The following is a 19,816-nucleotide window of genomic DNA, read 5'->3' as shown; positions in this document are numbered from 1 at the left end:
TTAGACATTCTGATTTTTGGAGAGTTATCTCCTGTTTTCCGTTTGTCTCTTTTTCTTTTCTTTTTTCTTTTTTCTTTTGAATTCTTTGGTCTAAAATTTTCAAGGATAGCCAGGTTTCACTTTTCTAATTTACTGATTAGGTGTGAATGTAGTGAGAATGAAACAAAGAGAAGAGAATCATAAGAAACAGCCAAAGCTGCAGATGTTGAGCTCACCCAGAGAGAAAGTCCTGACTTGGCTAGCTTGGACCAGCCATGCTCCCTGCAGCCAGTCCCACCCTCTCCCTCCCCTTGGGATAGGGCTGAGGCAGCAGCGCCCCACTGAAGGGTCAGTACTCCATCAGGATCCACGTCGCCACCAGGGACTGGCCCTATTACGGGTTCTGTTACTTCACTGGTCTAATTTTATTCTTCTGTCCTTTTACTTAATAGTAAATATCTCTATGAACCCTCTGCATGTAAAGAATTCTGCTAGGTTCTGTGATGGTTACAAATTTCTATCTAAGACTCAACCCTGTTATTCAAAGGCAATAATAATTGCTGGCATTTATTCGTGACTAATGTGTTCCAGGTACTATGCATACATTATTTCATTTGGCACATATTATTAGATTTAATTATCACAGCAAGCCTATTAGGAAAGTGCTATTTTTATCCCATTTTATTATTGAGGAAACTGAGCTTATGTAACTTGCCCAAGGTCACATGGCAGTGATTGGCAAAGCAGGAGTTCTCACTCAGGGCTGACAGCTCCAGAGCCCAGCTCTTAGCCTGTGTGCCACATTGCTTCTCCTGTTCATGATTTACTAAGAAAGAAATGCCTAATGCCAAGTCACAACCCAAGGCAGCATTGCAAAAATATTGCAAGCAGGTTAGAAAGCATGCTGAAGGAATGCAAAGGGAATACTGGGGCAGGTAGATAAGGATGCACAGAGAAGCATTTGGGAAAAGGCAAATGCCTCTGGGCAGAGGGAAGAGTAGCCACCCAGAAGATGTGTGGTAGAGGCGTAATTTTTTTTCTAGAGCCTAAGTTGTGGAATGATGGAGTGGTATATGAGACAGATGGAGGGCGGAATATGACTTGCTGCCAAAGTGGCAGCCCATTACCACAAGGAGGAACTGTTACGGTAAAGGGAGATGGACACCCTAGAGGTTCTAAGAGGCTCAGGCTTCCCAGAAACAATCTCCTGGAATCAGAATTTGAGACAATGATAAAGTGGCGACACAACCTGCTGCTGGAAGTAATTTAGGGCCATGCAGATCCTTGACACTCTGCCTCTTGATTCTGATGGCCTAGCCCTGGCTTCTCAACACTCAATCTTTTCCCTGTTCTCTTATGCAGCTCTTGCAGGAGGCTACCATGAGCTCTCTCTGGTGCTCAGGGACTGGAGATGTCATCGAGGACTGGTGTCGATGTGACTCCACTGCTTTTGGAGCTGATGGACTCCCCACCTGTGCGCCTCTCCCACAGCCTGTGTATGGTTCTCTTTCTCTCTTTCAGCATTACTCTGGAAACAGATAATGAGCGTCTACTATTTGCAAAGAAATAGGCTGGGTACTGGGAAACAAAGAAAAATATGACACAATACCTGCCTTTAGAGAGCTTTCAATCTACCAAGGGAGGCAGCACAGATGGTTTTAGTAGAGAAAGGGTGTGACAAGTGTTAACAAGAGGCATTTAAAGAAAGTGTGAAGAGGGAATGGTCAAGTCTGAACTGACGCCATGGTGACGGCTCTGTGGAGGAGGTGGCGCTTGAACTTCTCCTTGAAGGTGGAGAAAGTAGGACAGCATAACTAGAAGACAATGGGGAGAAAAGTGCCATTGTAATGGAAGAAGTTAGAGATCTACACTGAGAGCTTAACTAGACCAAAAACATAACCACTCATTGAACACTTACTGGGTGCCAGGCATTGTATGGAGCAGTTAGATACTGCTCATTTAATAGACAAAAAAAAATGCATTCAAATGGATTGAATGATTTTCCAAAGTGGTAGAGCAGGAAGCAGAATTGGTTAAGAGGCATGTTCTTGGCCATTATAGTACGGAGAGGATAAAATTGAGAGATGATCTGGGGCAGAACCAACAGGGCTTGGTGACTGATTGAAGTAGTGGTGAGGAGAAAGGAGAAGTGGAAAGTGAACTTAAGACTTCTGACCCTGGTGGCTGGGAAGATGAATAGGCCACCAGTGAGCAAAGAAGAATCAAAGGATAGGCAGGTTTGAGGAGGAAGCCAGTTTCATTTGGGCTTGCCTTGGAGCTGTCATGGGGTAGTTGAGTGTGTGGGGATGTTCAGTGTGCAGAAAGAAAGATGGAGCTCTGCAAAAAAGTAAATACTAGAGATGAGATTTCAGTCAACCCCAGAGAAATGGGAGATGAAACCACAGCTATTAGAAAGAGTGCTCCAGAACAATAATCAAGTGGGAAGAGCAGAGGGCTGGGGATGAACAATAGGAGAGTCTGCATTTGAGGGGTGAAGAGGATGAAGTGCTACAAAGGTGTCTGAGAATGGACATGCCCAATTTCCTTCCCCTCAATGGAAGACGAAACAGAACTGGCCAAGCTGAGGGCCAGGACCTGAGACAAGAATCCCTTGTAGCCTCTAATATGGCATCTGCCATGGGACTGAAGCCACAGGAATATTGTATCTAATAAAGACTGCTGGCATGACAAGCTGGAAGAGAGTGACCCCAGGGGCTGGTAAGGCAAAGAAATCCTGAAGTAAAGATCAGGGCCTGCAAAAGTGAAAGGCTGAGTAGGCAGGAGCAACAGACCGCTTAGGAAAGCAGCAATTGAGAGGCTGCCCTCTGGCCTGTTTCATGCAGGTGCGGGTAGGCACTAAAGGGCCAGGACAGAGCAAGAAGAAATCAGAGGAAGGAGGAGAATGCAGCACTAGAGGGTCATTACAAGCCAATTTCTTCTCTTGTCCACAGTCTGTCTTCTCTCTGTAGGTGGTTTTAGATACCTACAGCCTTTGGCTGTAGATACACTAGCCTTTGGCTTCCTGTTCTTCATAGTCATGATTGGACTTCTTGAGTTAAAAGAGAATCAAGCTCATTATTAATAAAAGTTCCTTCATTTAGTATAAAGGGAGCCACTAGGAGAACTGCTGCTGTTACACTAATTCACCAGGTAAGAGAGCTACCTCTGAAACAATACTGAAGCTACCAAATGTTATCAGGTGGACACAAGATCCAGCCATAATGTCCTAGGGCTTATTTTGTTTTTAAACCTGTGTTTACTAAATCTTATTGCAAAAGATTAAATTGGGCTAAATTTTCATAAACAGTAAATGTCTATTAAGGACTTTCCTTTTCTTGACAACTGATCACCTCCTTCAGTAGCAAACCTTAGTTTCAGTGGGAAACGAAAATATACTTTAGTTTTACACAAGTCTGTGTAAATCATATACACTTCTATTTCTCAGAAGAGGCCGGGTTTAGTCCATATTTTCACAGAATTTGTGTTCTCAGAAATCTAACTTATTTAACGTTCCTAATGCTTTTTTTTTCAAAACAGCACTCTGCATATGACTCTAATTAATGAATTTGTCAATATCTGCACAGTTTTGGGTCTATTCCATCTTCAATGTCATATGCAAACTATGCACTCCTTCACTAACAGAAGAGCATGTGTTTTGTATTATTTTCCCACTAGTTGAATTCCTTACTTTTGTGTCCACAGTCTACTATAATTTATTTTTGAAACTCTTATCACATATTATTATAATCACATGTATAATTATATGCTTCTATTGCTCACTAAGCTCCTTTAAAGAAGGGACTGGGATGGGCTTGTGCACCACTGCATCCCCAGTAGCAAATGGATGCTTCACAAATATCTGTTGAATTGAAATTGAAGATTGCAGATGGTTTGGTGTCATTCATTCTTAGTACCTTGCACAGTGATCCTTGAGACGACCGACAGGCACCTGTGAGCCAAGCAGAGAAAAGGAGGGCCAGGAATATGAGTGATCATGATATCTGGGAACCAAGGATGAGATAAATGGCAGGGATACTTGTAAGGGAGGGAGGCTGGAGTGAGCAGGAATGGGGAACATTCCCAGAATCCAGTCATCTTGAAAGAAACACAGAATTGGAAGAAAGAGGGGAAACCTGAGGCACATACAAGAAATCAGAAGGTGGCTGTGAATTGAAACCACGTGGATAATTAAGAGATCCATACCAGTGAATGCCAACAAGGATTATTAAGTTTCTGCGAGGTACAGAGAGGTATGAGCTGGCAAGGCAAGACAGTGGTAAATGTGGACAACTTGTAAAGAATAAGGAGAGTATGAAGTGAGAAAAGCAAGGAAAGGCTGGAATCAGGAACCAGGATATCCATATAAACCCAAGAGCAAAGACAGAAACTGAAATCAGAATCTGGGCAAGCAGGCAGAAGACATCACTCCAAGGAGAACTTGACATGTGGCCAACTTTCTCTTGTCCAGTAAAGCCCCCTATGAATATTACTTCCAAACTGAACCTGTTCCAAGGTCCAGCTAGCAGATGGCCTGGAGAAAAGGATAGGTTAGTTCCCATAGCAAGAAGGGAAGCTGGGGTTTCCCCCACCAGCACGGCAGATCCTGATAAGGTTATGGAAGCCAAACCAACTGTGGCCTTATTAATTTGAGATTCTGGACATCACCTTCAATACGTCTTTATATGAGCAGTATACACACACTCTCTTGATATTTTTCAAGAGAAAATCTAGAAATTATGATATTTTCCAGCCATATAAAATGGTACTACTCCAAAAGCCCTATCCTCTGACCCATGTAATATGCAGACATTCATTAATCTTTGACTCACCTACTGATTTATTTATTTACACTTATTGGCTGAGTTTATAATATGTAACAGGCATTTAATACATAAAACATAGATCTCAAGAGTCCTCAAAAACATTACTATCTTTTGAAAGAGACAGGCCCTCAAAGAGATCATTTTTGTAGTTGGTTGGGAAAGAAAAGCTTACAGTATCACAATTGAGGTAGTCAGTGCCCAAAGTGAGTCACAGTTGTGTCCCTGTTTCATGTTCCTTCCTGTCTGCACACAGGCTGAGACTCTCCACGGTTCACGAGCCCAGCAGCACTCTTGTGGTCCTGGAGTGGGAACACTCAGAGCCACCAATCGGGGTGCAGATTGTAGATTACCTCCTCCGTCAAGAGAAAGTCACTGACAGGATGGACCACTCCAAAGTGGAGACAGGTGAGCACCTTCTACTTCATGGGCTTGTCTTGATCCAAGGTGATAAAACTAAAACAAAGAAAAATGCCCTGCCTCATGGCTTTGCTCCAGGTCCCCAGTATCCCAGGGCAATGCAGGAGGAGCAGGGAGAAGAAGAAGCTGTTCTTCTTCTCCAGGAAGCAGCTGTTCTTCCAAGCAGCAGCCATCTTGTCCATTTAAGAGTTTTTGCCTGGTGAGCATCTGACAAAGCCTTGTTTTGATTTTGTTTTTTGTTTATAAAAGAGGTGTCCATTTCATTGCCTCTAGGCACACTCACAAAGAAACAACAATACAATACACTAGTTATCCTAGCCCACAATTAGGAAACAATTCTCTGCTAACCACTGCCATGATTACAGAAAAAAAATTCCTTTGCTAATAACCCCCTTCCAGGCAAAAGCATGTGCAAACAGATGTGTTTGGCCCATGTCTTTTCCTGAAGCAAACTGCTTTTCTCAGGTCCAGCTAGTAAGAGGGAAGCCTTAACAAAATGGAAACACCCCATGAAAAATGTTCCTTGCCTTAGTATTTCACTACCTGCACACAGTGAAAGGTCAACATTCATAATCCCAAAAACTTATGCATGGGATGTGGTCACCAGCAGGATGATGGCACCAACAATCTAATTCAAAATAAACAGCTACTGGTGAGCCTGCCACTGAGGGTTAGAGACATACGCAGCTGCTGCTTCAGGCATAGAGAGCTGCCTACCGCTTCTTCCAAGGCCCTTTGCCTGATGCGCACAGGTATTGCTGAGGTACGGCAGGGACCACTGACCAGAATGCTATCTCTGTCCATGCCAAGAAAATTTTATAAAGGAGCGCCCAGGCCAGGCGTTGTGCCTCACGCCTGTATTCCCAGCACTTTGGGAGGCCGAGCTGGGCGGATCACGAGGTCAGGATTTCGAGACCATCCTGACCAACATGGTGAAACCCCGGCATGTGCCTGTAATCTCAGCTACTTGGGAGGCTGAGGCAGGGGAATTGCTTGAACCCAGGAGGCGGAGGTTGCAGTGAGACAAGATCGCGCCACTGCACTCTAGCCTGGGTGACAGAGCTAGACTCTGTCTCAAAAAAAAAAAAAAAAAAAGAAGCTCTCAGGTGTGATGTGTATCCCTTGCCCTAGTTGTGTCTGAACTAACTCTAGACAGCTCTGAGTGGTTAAATATGAAATAGAAAAGGCCATTCCTTCTAAGTCTCCTTCTCTACTCTAGAGATTGAGGACCAAATCATTGTCATGTTAAGTTCTCATTGAGTTGACTCCATCTCCTCATTGCTTGGCCGTCATTGTTTCTCATGCTTTTTCCATTCCTTCTCCTCTGGGCAGAAACAGTGCTGAGCTTTGTGGACGACATCATCTCTGGAGCAAAGTCTCCTTGTGCAATGCCATCTCAGGTGCCGGACAAGCAGCTCACCACCATCTCTCTGATCATACGATGCCTGGAACCTGACACCATTTACATGTGAGTAACACACACCTACCTAGTGACTTCTTACCCTGACAGTCCCAAGGCTTCTTACCGGTTTCTTCTTGCTACTTGAGTTCCTTTAGAGACTCAGCAAAACATGTTGAGTCTCTGAAGTCTTATCCCAGGTGGCATTATAGAGAATGTTCTCGAGTACTTAGACACTGGAATGGGGGGATCTAGAAAGATAATACGGTCCTGTCCCTTGAGGAGTTTGCAACATAGAGGGGAAAGATATAAAAAACTAACTTTAACTTAAGGCAGAATTAAATAAATGTAGATAGAAAAGCAAAAAATGAAAAAAAAAATTGTAAAAGAGAAGAAAGAAGTGATTAATTCTAACTAGAGTGGATGTCATCTAAACTGTGTTGTGTAGAATTTCAACCAACAGTCATGTTGGAAAAGGTATACTAGGCTCAGGAAGCTGCAAAGGCAAAGGTGAAGAAGCATGAAGGTGAGTAGCAAGTAGTCTAGTAGGGCAGAGGCAGACGGTGAGTAAAAGGGAAAGGAAGAAAGTGAGACTGGAAAGATAGAATGCTATAAGTCCAAGGAGTCATTTTTGAGGAAAGGCATAGAATACCAAGAACTCTGCTTTAGAAAGCTAGCTAGCTCCAATGGCATTGAAGTAATTTAGAAATGTTAGAAATGGGCAGCACTTTTCTTCAAAGAAATGCAGCGAACTATATCATGGCCATTGGAATGACCCTATTCTTTCTGCGAACTCTTCCCCATTTCTCCCTGTGCTCTGGAAACAATTGTAAAATGTTTGTGACGCAGAGATGTAAAAGATGCCAGAAAAGGAGAGATAATGATAGAATCTAAATCATGATGGAAAAATTTGGGTGCTAAGGCAGAATTCATAGTGATGTCGTTGTAGGACTTCGTGACCCCATCAGTATGAAAAACATTTAACAGTTTGCAGAGGAGATCACGAGAATAGAGTCAAGGTTTCCAGAATAAATCATGTCTATTTCCACAGTTAAAGAGTTCAGAGATGAAAAGCACTAGAAATTTGAGTGGCATTGATTGCAAGATGAACTTCAGTGCTCAGGCTGAATGTCTTCAATATAGGAAAAAGGGATGTTGCTATGGGCTATGCATGATGAAAGTAAAGTACATAAACACAAGTGACATTCTAGAGGATTTCGACAGTATATATAGACACAGATGAGAATACTAAGACCATGTTGGTCCACTTTTTGGGTGATTCCACCAATGCCATGATTCTCGTTGGCTCTTTTGATAGGGGGCAGTTGTGGCCCTTTATTGGAGGGGAGCAGGTGAAAGGAACAAGGATTTGGGAGTGCAGACCACCTAACCTGCTGTAAGGCATCTCAAACTCAGTGAAACTTGAACTATCATTTATAGTAAAGGCTCAGTAGTCCTTCAGTTGTGACTAAATCACACTGTTACTTAGGAATTCCAAAGTTCCAATGTACAAGAAGTGGTATTAGGAGTGCAGCCATTACCCACACTGCGACCCTCCTCATGTTGGCCTGATTGGCTGCGTTTCTGATCAGAGACCGAGGCCAATACCGTCTCTCACTCCAGCTGTCTTTGCTGATCTCCCATTATGTCCCTCCTACATCTTATAAAATGCGAACTGTGAATGCTGTTTATTGAGAAGTTGGAGCCAATGCAGGGGGCTAAGGAAGAAACAGCAAATCTCCACCAGGTGGCGCTGCAGATCACAAGAAGAGGGCCGTGTGGGAGGCCAGGAGTGACATTCCTCTCCCGGAAGGATCCAGGAGAGCTGCGCTTCAGCCCTTGGGATAGGGACAGAGCCCTAGATTAAGAGTTAAGAATACATGGGCTGCAAGCCTGGTTTTTTGTTCCTAACCACTAAATGGCTGTAAGCAAGACACTGAAACTTTCTCCAACTAAGTTTTCTTTCTATAAACTGGGAGGAGGGCGGCCTTCATTAATGGAGTGCTGACTCTGAGAATCCCCTCTGACTCTGTGAGATTAGGGGTATTGTTTCCATTTTTTAATTGAGGAAACAGGTGCAAGAAAACGGAGTAACCGCCCCAGAATCACACAGCTAGTTGCTTCGGGTATGCAAGCCTTGCATCTTAACTCCCTGCTGCTCTAGGTTACTGTGAGAATCTCAGAGCATGACCTCATTACCTCATATTAAAGCAGAGCGCTGGCTCTGCACCTGGGATCCACAGAGGTGGAACAGCATTTCTGCTTAGCTGGCTTCCTTTGTCACTTTTTATATTTTATTTAATGCTTTTTAAAACATTATTCTGAGAAGGATCCATGGCCCAAAAACAGCGAAGAACTCCTACTTGAAAGAGACCTTAAAGTATGTCTGGTCCAGCATTCTTCATTTTACAGATGAAGAAACTGAGGCCAGGGTAGGGAGGTGACTCACAGGCCTTTCAACCTACTGCCCCATCATCACAATGCATGCTCACAGGAGAGCTGCTCTCTTTCCGGACGTGTGACAGCAGACAGATAATTCAGAAAAAAGGGAGGCAGATCAGAGGGATGGGCAGAAACCACCATGACTGGAGAAGGAAAGTGGGAAAGTATCAGACAAGAGAGCCAGTCCTTAGCAGGGGGCTTACGAGTCCTCCACTCACATCAAGTTTCAGGCCTTTAAGACCCACCTTTGGAAGCAGAGCTGTTCTGTGTCGGTGCGCACTCACACAGGCCTCCGTTGGGGTCATCACCAAGTCTCTAGCTGTGGGCTGAACAATCCCAGCCAGGCAGCAGTGGAAGAAGCCCAGGAGTTTTGGACAAAGCAGTAAATATACTAACACATGAGCCTTCCCACTGGGAGCAGGGCTTATCTCTTCTGCCCAGTAATCCCATCTAACCCTCTGAGGGTGCTGAGTGTTCAGTGGTAGAAACGATAACGCTAACGGTAAGCCGAGGCCTTTCTGAGATGACCGCACATGGCATTTCCACATGAAATGTGTAAAGTGCTCCCCCGGCCATGATGATGAAATAAACTGACTGCTCTTTCAGTGGGCCCTCCAAAACTGAGGGATTTGGGACTACTGAGGAATGGCCCTTAGGTCAAGCCTGGACCCTCCTCAGAAGGTTAAGTGAAGTATCTCCTTTTCTAATACCTGCTTCATGTTAAAAATAAAATACACTACTAAAAGTGGAAAGAGCTGGAGAACTTAAATTTTGCACTGATTGCCCCATTGGGGTAATGTGAGAATTAATGTGAGGACAGGTATTTTCATCCTAGGTCAGCATCCAATACAGTTTAGCTGGAACTTACAGCAAGGCAGGCCACAGGGCAGAGCTTGGGCCAGCTTGGGGGCGGGGGGAGAGGTGGGGATTGACTGAGAGAGAAGGGGTCCATCTGACAACGAAGTAGGATGTTTCTCATTATAGTCCAAGGACACTTAGAAATTAAGGGTCCAGGGTTAAGGAATGGTGGGCTACAAAAGGTGGCTGGAATGCAGCCATAGACGGTCTAGGGCAGGTGACATTTTAACATATTGCAGGCAGCATCATGTGGCCCAGAGCTGCACATAGCCAGACTGCAGCCCTGACCTGAGTTCCAACACCATGCTCAGGGCTCTGGTAGTCAGGCAGGAACAGGCAGAGCAGGGCCAGAATGACAGGGGATGGGGCACTGGGCAGGCAGGACCTCAGCAATGGAAACCAGAACAGGGGCCTAGACTTACGGACTCAGACACACAGTCAGGGGTGCAGGCCCTGTAGGAAGAGGGAGAGCGAACTGCGAGGACCAGAGGACCGGGTCAGGCCCATGCCCCAGCCCTGTGACCATGCTGGCCTGAGAGCATCAGCCTGGGAGAGAACAGGACTTCCTATCTCCTGACACTGATGAGAACTGATAGCCAGAACTGGGCTTAGGGCACAGTCTGCAACAAGGATAAAGCCACTCCACCTCTGGGCAGAGGACGGACTTCCTACGCACAAGAGCCCTGGTGTCAGGACCTCTGTGGGAGAAGGGGGCTCACTCGGGCCCCTAGAGGGCAGTGCTACCGAGGTTTGTATGACATTGTTAATCCTGGGGCTTTCTCACTTGCTACTTTATGGAGGAAACACGGGTATGAGGGGGAACTTCGCCTTGTGGGAGTCCCAGACTACTAGGTACAAGTCTGAAATCTGCAGAGTGGTACCTTTGGGCGCCTTCTTGAAAGGGAAGGTCAAGATGGTCTAGAGCAGGTGGGCAGAGGAGGGAGTTGGTGCTGACCTGGGACTGGATTGTGGGATTGAACCAGGAACAGAGCTAGTTCTACACGGGGCTGGTCAGATACACCAGCTGCTGGGTTTGGTGGCCACATTCACAATTCTAGAAACAGTACCAGAAGCTGATGAAACATCAGCATATGGCATGTGGGGCCAAATGATGCAAAATTTCATGACTGCCACTGCTAGGGGTCCAGCCAGCCTAGCATTGCCACCGAGAAGCTGTAGGGGCTCCCCTCTGAGCTTAGAGGAGAGGAATGGCAAGGAGACAAGGGTGAGAAGACCTTGAGTTTGGAATCAGGGTCAGGCTGGGGTTGAGTACAAGGTAAGACCATTTATAAGAACTCAGGAACAGGGGATGAGGCAGAGGCCAGTGAAGTGGATTGAGCCACCGTGTTGTAGACAGGAGTGAAGGGCTGCACACTTGGTCCTGGTCTGACAGCAAGGAGGGGCAGGAGTCCTGCAGGAGGCCAGCAGGTGTGGCCCAACCTGCTGTGTCCTGAATCTAGGCAGATCGTCACATTCTGAGTCCCAGCAGACCAGTGTTCAGGTGGTATGGGGGCTGCCTGTGTGAGGCCCCCGTAATTCAGCATGATAATTTGGAGAAGGTAGAGGGAAGGCAAATGGCGTATTGGGGCACACAGGCTCTCACACTGACCATTCTGTGGATGTCTTTGTGGGGAGGGAGTGGTGGGCCATGGTTGTCTTTTCTCTGTTGAGAGAAATGCATATTTCTTGCCAGAATCATTAAGCAATTATCTATATCTTTTCTACTTCACCAGCACGTCTGTTCCATGCCAAGCTGACATTTAACTGGACCACTGTGTCTTGGGGCCTCTCTCTCCTTTTCACCTCTCTCCCTCCCTGTAACTGTGCCAAAAGAAAACAAAATAATTGCCAATAAATGCAGCCTCCTGTGGTGACACAGCAGAAAGTAAAGTGACAAGAAAGGCGACATTAATGATTTTCTTTAGACCGACTGGGTTGGTTATCAGAGGCCCTTGGCACAGACACCAGAGCTGATTGCCATGGTTGTGTTCAGATTCCCTTTTCAGTGGCAGAACCTAGAATTCCTCTTCTTCCTCTCCATCTAGCTCCATCACCCAAGGGGAAATTTTACTTTCAGCCTTTAATAGCCAGGTTTTCATTTTCTTCTAGGAAGGGGCTCCTTAGAATCATGTCTTCACATTGTCATGGAGACTGCGATGTTTCCACTCTGGATTCCTGGTCCACAGTGGGCAGTATCTCAGAGGAACAGAGTGAGCTGTATGTGGGGAATGAAGAGTCTAGCCACAGGCAAGCCAAGAGACTCTCCACTAGGGCTGTTTTGCATCTCACTTTAAAGAGGGAAGCTGTCCCCGGTCCTTTGCATAGAGGTGTTGACTGCACATGGGAAGGAACTGAAGAGAACTAGTGTGATATATGCAATGTCATGAACCATATTATCTTTCAGGTATTTCTGTACATTGTTGTCTCATTTCGTTCTCACAGTGGCTTACAAGTAGTCTTATTATCATCTCCATTTCACAGGCATTCACTATAACTATGTGGCTTCAGACCCAAGTTCTGACTGTCTGTTTCCAAAGATATAAACTCTTCCCCTGAGTGGTTGTCAAAGTTTAACAGGCACCAGAGTCACCTGGAACACCCGGGAAAGCACAGAGGTCTGGTTCCCATCCCTAGAGTTTCTAATTCAGTGGGTCTGGGCTAGGGTCTGCTGCTCCCAGGTTCCCAGGTAATGCTGGTCCTGCTGGTCTGGGGGCCCGACTTTGAGAACCGGTGCCTGATGCCAGATGCTTTCTGCCAAAAAATATACCCAAGACAGCAAATTACAACCCAAGACCCACTAGGAAGCAGTGAGAGGCTCTAGGCTTCATCTTTCTGCCTGGGATGGTGGCAGTAAACGTGACCCAGGATGACGAGAGTATCTGGGTCCATAGCCACCCATTCAGGCAGAGCTGGGCCATGAGCTAGGGCCACAGAGATCTAGCCTCCAGCCACACTGTTTCTGCTAACCATGCCCTCCCACTCCCTGCCAGGTTCACGCTGTGGGGAGTGGACAACACAGGACGGCGCTCCAGGCCAAGCGACGTGATCGTGAAGACCCCATGCCCCGTGGTGGATGATGTCAAGGCTCAAGGTAAGAGACATCGAAGTTAGCAGTGTTTCTGAAGGGATGCCCCAGGTACCCACCACTTGCTATGAGGACAGAAGGACCAAGAGAGTTGAATAGAACAACCTGGAGTTCAGCAGGGAAGGAGAATTCAAGGCCCAGTACAGGAGCGTTGCCTTTCCAGAAATAATACTCAGCCGCTGGCAAAAGTCCTCATCGTATTGCATTACTCCACACAGTCATTAAGTCAGGGAGCCCATAGGAGACACTGATGAAGCCCCCTAGCATACACGATTGTATGCCAGGTGCTGACGTATGTAGTGAAGTACCTGTGATCTCTGCCCTCAGGATACTGATAGGGTCACTCACTCTGTCTATAGGTTTTTGTACATCTGAAAGATTATTTTGAATTAACATATACAGCAAGGCTGCAGATTTGCAGTTAATTGCTAAATCCTCCCATCCCTGGCAAAAATACATCAAAATTTTTAATTGTATATTTTGAAGTTGTGGGCCAGTTCTTTGATAAATAGCTGGCTGTCTTTAGTACAAACTCCCCTGCAGGATCAGTCCCTGTTAATTAAGAAAAACTTGACTTCAGTCAACATCCATTGCACAAAGCTTACCTTTTCCTCATGACAATACCGGGCTGGTCTTGACATCATCCCCTGTTCTAAGGTTTTTACACCCTATTTATAACCAGAATTTTAATCATCCTGGTCACCACTTCTTCAGGGCTCCAGCACTAATTTAAGTAATCTTATCAACCACTAATGTGGTAGTATTGAACGGATAGCATTTGCATATTAACAAAGACATTGATGCTGAAAGTTTTAGGTTGTGCAAGTTTCAGTAAGAGAAATATTGTGTCCAGTCTGATTTGCTGACATCCCTTAAATCATCTTATATATGGCTCCTGACTCCAGGTGTATTAGATTGACAGGAGGGACATAATCCCAGAATGTCCAAGGGGTGACACTGTGATGATGCAAAATCACAGGGGAAAGAGTGACCTAGATTCCCATTAATTAAAACCACTAATATTGTAGCACTATGCAACATCTGAAAAGATTTTCATCTTTAATCTGCAGAGCATGTTAAAGGTAGGGTTATTTCCAACACAGACACCTGATCATATCAAGGGCCCTTCTTAAAACTCTTTCATGTATTGCCATTCCTCTTGTGACAAAAATATTAAACAGGTAAATTAGGACCTAAATGGAGTGGCCCCAGCCCACTTCTCCAGCACTTCGGCCCCCTCCCTTAGCCAATTTCTGCATTCCAGCCTCACTGCCTTCCTCAGTTCTTCCAAAACCGTTTTCATTCTACCATGAGGCCTTTGCACACATTGGTCCCATTACCTAGAATTCTCTTACCCTGTCAACTGATGAACACCTCTTATTCTGCAAATCTCAGATCAAGTGTTCCTTCCTCAGGGCAGAAAGGGCCAGGAGCCATAATAAGGTATCCTCACAGTACCATGTTTTATTCTTCAGAACATTCATCATATTTATTATTATAATGATATGTTCAATGCCTTTCTACCTCACTAGACAGTGAGCTCCATGAGAGCAGGATCCCAGTCTGTTTTTGTCCACTGTTAGGTCACTAACACCTGGGAGGCAGCATGGTTGACCAACTCATTGCAGAGAACCTGGAATCAACATCCCAAATTCAAATGCCTGCCTCCCATCTAACTGCTTGATCTTCAACAGGTTACTTCACCCCGTGCCTCAGTTTACTTATTGGTAAACTGGGGATGAGGGAGATAGTACCCTAGCTAATGAAGTTCTAGTGAAAATTGAATGACTTAATTAATTTAAAATAGAAAAAAACCACCCAGTGCCTGGCATATAATAATATTCAGTAAAAGTTAGCTGCCATTATTATCAGTAACCAACCATAGAGCTTGCTGTCTACTAGGAAGTCAATAAGTATTTACTGAAGGAATGGCACAATACCCCCATGTTATAGATGCAGCAATTGAGATTCAGAGTGGAGTAAGTAAAGTGATAAAGATCACAAAGCATCTGGCAGAACCAGCACTCACACTTGTTATTTTACCCAATTCCCATTTTGTCCATGTTACCAAAAAATGGTTAGAGAATTATTATGTCAAAGACTGAAGCCCTTCCCCCTTGTCTTTAAATACTGGTGAAGAAGAAAAGGCTCACATTTTAAAAGACTGTTCAAGTTACATACCGAAACTCTCCCTTTTTAGACCCTCTGGAGTGAGTGCTGCTGGCTTATAGGGTATAGACTGAATGACTTTCGAAGGTCTCTGCAATTCCCTGATGAGGAAAACTGGCATTGAAAACTCCCAGATGAGAGACTGTCTGCAGAGGACCCATGACACCCTTATTTCATTGTCTGCTGATTTCTTCCTCTAAGCCAGAGAGAGGCAGGTAGCGAGAAGGTGCCTCTGCTATTCCTGTGTTGGAGCATTTGCTGGTGTCCTTGCAGGTAGTACAGCCTGCAGTGAGTAGTGGGAAATCAGGGAGTAGGCAGCAGGTGGTGGGACATCAGGGAGGTGATTAGCAGGTGGAGGGGATGCAGCATGATGCTACCTACAGGGATGGATAGGTAGAAAGTAATTCTAGAATAAAGAGTGGCCCATATAGGGAAGTTTGCTGGGAGCAGACAACTACACAGTTTTCCATGCGGGGCTCCTTCGGGTCAACCCAAGCCCTCCAGAGTACATCAAGATGTGCTCTGCCTGCTTGTGCTTCTTAATAAAGGGAGTTTCTGAAATCCCAGCAGACGAGCTGGGAGCAGAAGAGCCAATTTAGTGTTGAGACAGTGAAATAACACTCCCAGGGCCTGTTATCCTTCAGCCAGGAAGGTGTCCTGTGCAGGTAAATCCAGAATTAATGACTTAGACTAATTGAGGGTATCCTTGCTAATTAATACAGTTCTAGCAGTTCTACCAAAATACCATATGCTTTGTCTTCCTCACACCCAGATGGTGATCATAAATATGATCTCGCAGCACTCAGGTCTGAGTTTAAATCCAATAACAAATGGGAATTACCTTTTAAGTGACCTGGAGCATGACTTCAGCTCCTCATTATCTACCTAAAAGCCAGACTTCATCCCTTATGTGAAGATTTATCCTAAACTAGATACTTTCTCTGAGGAATTTTCCTGCATCATGACACTAAAGCCACTGTGGAAATAAGTTTCTACCGATGTTTTGCTGAAACCAGCCTTCCCCCAGTAGGTTCAAGCTCATGTGAGTAATGAGATCAACCCTCTTGGCTAGACTCTAGGTCAGGCCATGGCCTTCCGAGAGTTCTTCATGAAGCTTCATCCAGGGAAGGCTAGTTCTCATCCACCCCTCCCTGATGCCTGTTCTGTCTTCCTGATGCAGACATAAATGTTTATCCATCCCTTTATTTGCTCTTTCCACAGCCATTTATCGAACCCTGCTATTAGATGCTACACACAAAAGCAATTAGAATCAAAATCTGTTTTCAAGAATTTTATAATCCTATTTCATGAATTCATTATGTCATTCAATACACATTAAGCCCTTACTAAATACCTGTTCTAGGCAGTAGGAGCCAAACCTCCTGTCTCATGGAGCTTATATCTTAGTAAGGATGACCAACAACAGCAAAACAGTAATGTGTATAATATTTCAGATGGCGATACGTGTTATGGAGATACATAAGGAGGGCTGTGGGATAGGAGGTGCAGAGGGTAGAATTTTAACTGGAGTGGCTTGGGAAGAAGGTGAGGGAGAAAGTCGTGCAGAAATCTAGGGGAAGATCGTTCCAGATCAGGGAGCAGCGGTACAGAGATTCTTGGCTCATGTTTGAAGAAGAGGAAGGAGGAACAGTGGGAGGGAGAAGAGCAGGAGAGGAGCTCCAAGAGTGTGGGGAAGATTCCACAGGGCCTGGTCATCAAAATAGGGCACTGTACTCTGCCTGGGATTGGAATGGGAAGCCCTGGAGGACTGTGAGCAAGGGGCTGACATGATGGACTGTGAAGTGGCCCCTGCCTGCTCTCATGCTCTACATCCAACCCATTGGCAAATCCTTTCGGTTCTCCTTTTCATTATTGGAGAATAGATTTCACAGAAATATAGAGGCTGTGAAAGGAGGAACTTCATCTTGTTTTATTTTTCCCCACTTTTGAACACACTATATTTTACTTATTTACTATGTTTATTGCTTACCTGACCTGACTGTCTCCTACCACCAGACTGTAAGTGCCATAAGGGTGAGGATTTTTGTCCAACGTAGTGCACGTACATAGAAAACTGTCAGGCACATAGTAAGCACTCGAAAACAATTTTAGTTGATAAATCAATAAATACAAGCTTACTATGTCCAAACATTGTGCTTTTTTTTAAAAAAAAAAAAAAGGTTTGACATTTAATATAGCTTTTATTCTCACAAGAATCTTGGAGGGTATGTATTATTAACCATCATTGAACAGACATGGAAACTAACACCCAGAGAGGTTAAGTAACTTGTCCCAGGCCACACAGCTGGTGTGGCCCAACTCCATTTGATGCCATGGTGTCTGGGTCTGAGAGCCTCAGTCTCAGCCAATTTACCCGGCTGCCTGAGAGATCTCAGTTCTTTTCTAATCATGTTTTTTATGATGAGGCTGTGTAGACAGGCTCTTTGCCATATTTTCACCTGCATCTTATCTATTTCTGAACATCATGAATGTTAAAGAGAGAGAAGACAGGTATCTGTCTTGAATAACTCAAGGTTTCTGTGAACCTGCAATTGAGTAAAATTATAACTAAAAATACCTATACTATTTTCCATTGTTTAAGTTAGTGAATTCTTGAGATGCTATGAAGACTAACAAAATAAATTCTCTCAATTCTTTCTGTGGAAATAGGAGGAGCCAGAAATATTCATGCTCTAGGAGCCTGGAGCATAGATCTTTCTGAAGACAGCGTCTGACTTACTGATGTGGGCTCTTAAGCACACCCAAGAGCTAGAATATCGTGGTTTTAGGAGATTGGTGGTGGAAACTGGTCTCATCCCACGTGCTGCAAAAGCTGGGAGCCCTTAGTCTTCCCTAGCTGGATATGACTACTATGTTATGAGAATGATAGGCACCTCCTCAGCCATCACTGCTCCTCCGCAAAGACTACCACAACCAGGGCCTGGCGTGTGGACTGTTCTTTCTTATCACAAGAAGTAGGCACAGATTGGCACCAGTGCAGGGGTGGGAGAGGAAGTCCAGATCTGCCTATCTCAGCTCTGGTCTTATCACCAGCATTTTTCCTCCCCCGGTCATTCTTCTCTCAGCAAGCGCTCCTTGCTTCCCATGGAATACAACACAGCTCTTAGAAGAGTCCCTTGGCCTCTTCTTGTCTCAACTTCAGAAATGACAGACCCCCTGCACAGCTACTAGGATTCCCTCTTTCTTGGCATCTGGGGCCCAATCAGTGCAATGCTCATGACTAGAGAGAGTCATCCCAGATTTTCCATCCCATGACTCTGCCTCCTGTACCTTAAATTGATTATACATCATCTATTCCCACACATCAGTACACAATAGCAACGGCAGATAGTCATAGTTTTCAGTTTTGACTCCATCTCACCCTGGCAGTGTGACCTTGGGCAGGTAGGTAACTTGGCCTTTTCCCAAATCTTCTCATTTATAAAACAGGCACATTCGTATTCATCTTTCAGTGGTAGTGTAAGGATTGGGAATCACATGTGCAAAGTTCTTGGCAATCATAGGCCTTTGATAAACAACTGGAGATACCATAGATATTTATTTTCTAAATCACTATCTTCTTTATTTCTTAATTCCATTTTTAACAATATGAGAATTTTAACAACCTGAAAATCTAAGTGGACTTCTATACTAAAGTTATTTGCAATGCAGCTAAATATGCTGGCTGCAAGTTTGGTTGCTACAGGATTGGTGTCACCTGGTATCAAGAGATATCAGTGAGAAACTCTTCCCCAAAGTAAATTTAAATTGTTTCCAAAGGTTTAAGTTCTATTCATTCAGGTAACATTTTTGGATCTACTAGATTGTCTGGCCTTGTGCTAGCCACTCAGGATAGTAAGGGCATACAATCTGGCTCCTGTCCTCATAGGCAACAGGTAAGACAAAAAAGTAAAGAAATAATTGCAGTGTCTGGGCAGGATAGAGGTAGAAACTTTATTCATTCCAACTCTGGAAACTGCTACAGGGATGACTTTGTCATGACCAGCAGTGCTGAAGTCACTTGGAAGTTTGACCAGGAATCAAGCTACCATGGCTGCGAGCTAACAGATGGTCACACTGGCCAAGTTGTGGCTTAGGAACCTGTGGACTTCATTTCTTCATGCCCAGAATTAACACTGCATCCAAGACAAAACGTTGCTCTCCAGATCTTAGTTTCCAAGCTGTTTAGAGAGAAAAATGTAAATACATCTCCTTTTGGACAAATTAAAAGAGAAAATATTTAATGATGAACTACTTTGAGCTCTGTAAGAAAAAAATGCCAAGTCTATACAAAATCATTTCCACTTTGCCACATCACCAACTTCAGACTTAGTAATTTATGCCTTTGAGGAAGAAATATCAGAGACATAAATTAAATGGAAAGATTACTCATTTACACTAGATTCCATTTCTGGGTCTCCACAGATCTGCCTTTGCACCTGGTCTAGGTGGTCCTAACAAGGGTTCTGCTTTCCCACAGTCTTGAGGCCACTCCAGACTCTTCACATCACTCGCAAGCACTGCCTGACAGTGCCTCACTTCATCTCTGAGCCGAATGCGCACCACCCACTGCCAGGGCTGCCCTGCTACTTTGGCAGGAACCCTGGTATTCAAGCACATGCCACCTAGAAGTGCAGGGTTGTT

At 44.7% G+C, this 19,816-nt stretch overlaps 1 protein-coding gene across 5 annotated transcripts in view, besides 2 other annotated features; it reads left to right on the top strand.

Moving 5' to 3' along the window:
- The window catches only part of ASTN1 (astrotactin 1), a 307,392-nt gene that overhangs the window by 275,167 nt on the left and 12,409 nt on the right, over nucleotides 1-19,816 (top strand). For all 5 annotated transcript variants that reach the window (NM_001286164.2, XM_017001341.3, NM_004319.3 and 2 more), the window contains exons 18-21: nucleotides 1,342-1,475; nucleotides 5,056-5,207; nucleotides 6,552-6,687; nucleotides 12,909-13,009. In NM_001286164.2, the coding sequence (NP_001273093.1) occupies nucleotides 1,342-1,475; nucleotides 5,056-5,207; nucleotides 6,552-6,687; nucleotides 12,909-13,009 (523 nt within the window). The remainder of the gene's footprint in view (nucleotides 1-1,341; nucleotides 1,476-5,055; nucleotides 5,208-6,551; nucleotides 6,688-12,908; nucleotides 13,010-19,816) is intronic.
- Nucleotides 9,421-9,565: an enhancer, noted in NCBI's record as "145 bp enhancer 65 fragment used in the MPRA reporter construct; PK_construct_4449". NCBI's record gives its function as "activates an SV40 promoter by MPRA in K562 cells {active_cell/tissue: K562}" and the evidence as "EXISTENCE:reporter gene assay evidence [ECO:0000049][PMID:23512712]".
- Nucleotides 9,484-9,501: a transcriptional cis regulatory region, noted in NCBI's record as "GATA motif; enhancer activity is reduced when this motif is scrambled". NCBI's record gives its function as "necessary for full MPRA enhancer 65 activity {active_cell/tissue: K562}" and the evidence as "EXISTENCE:site-directed mutagenesis evidence [ECO:0005528][PMID:23512712]".

The sequence above is a fragment of the Homo sapiens genome, chromosome 1 (genome assembly GCF_000001405.40).
Source record: "Homo sapiens chromosome 1, GRCh38.p14 Primary Assembly".
NCBI lineage: Eukaryota > Metazoa > Chordata > Mammalia > Primates > Hominidae > Homo > Homo sapiens.
This window is presented reverse-complemented; position numbering and strand designations above follow the sequence as displayed.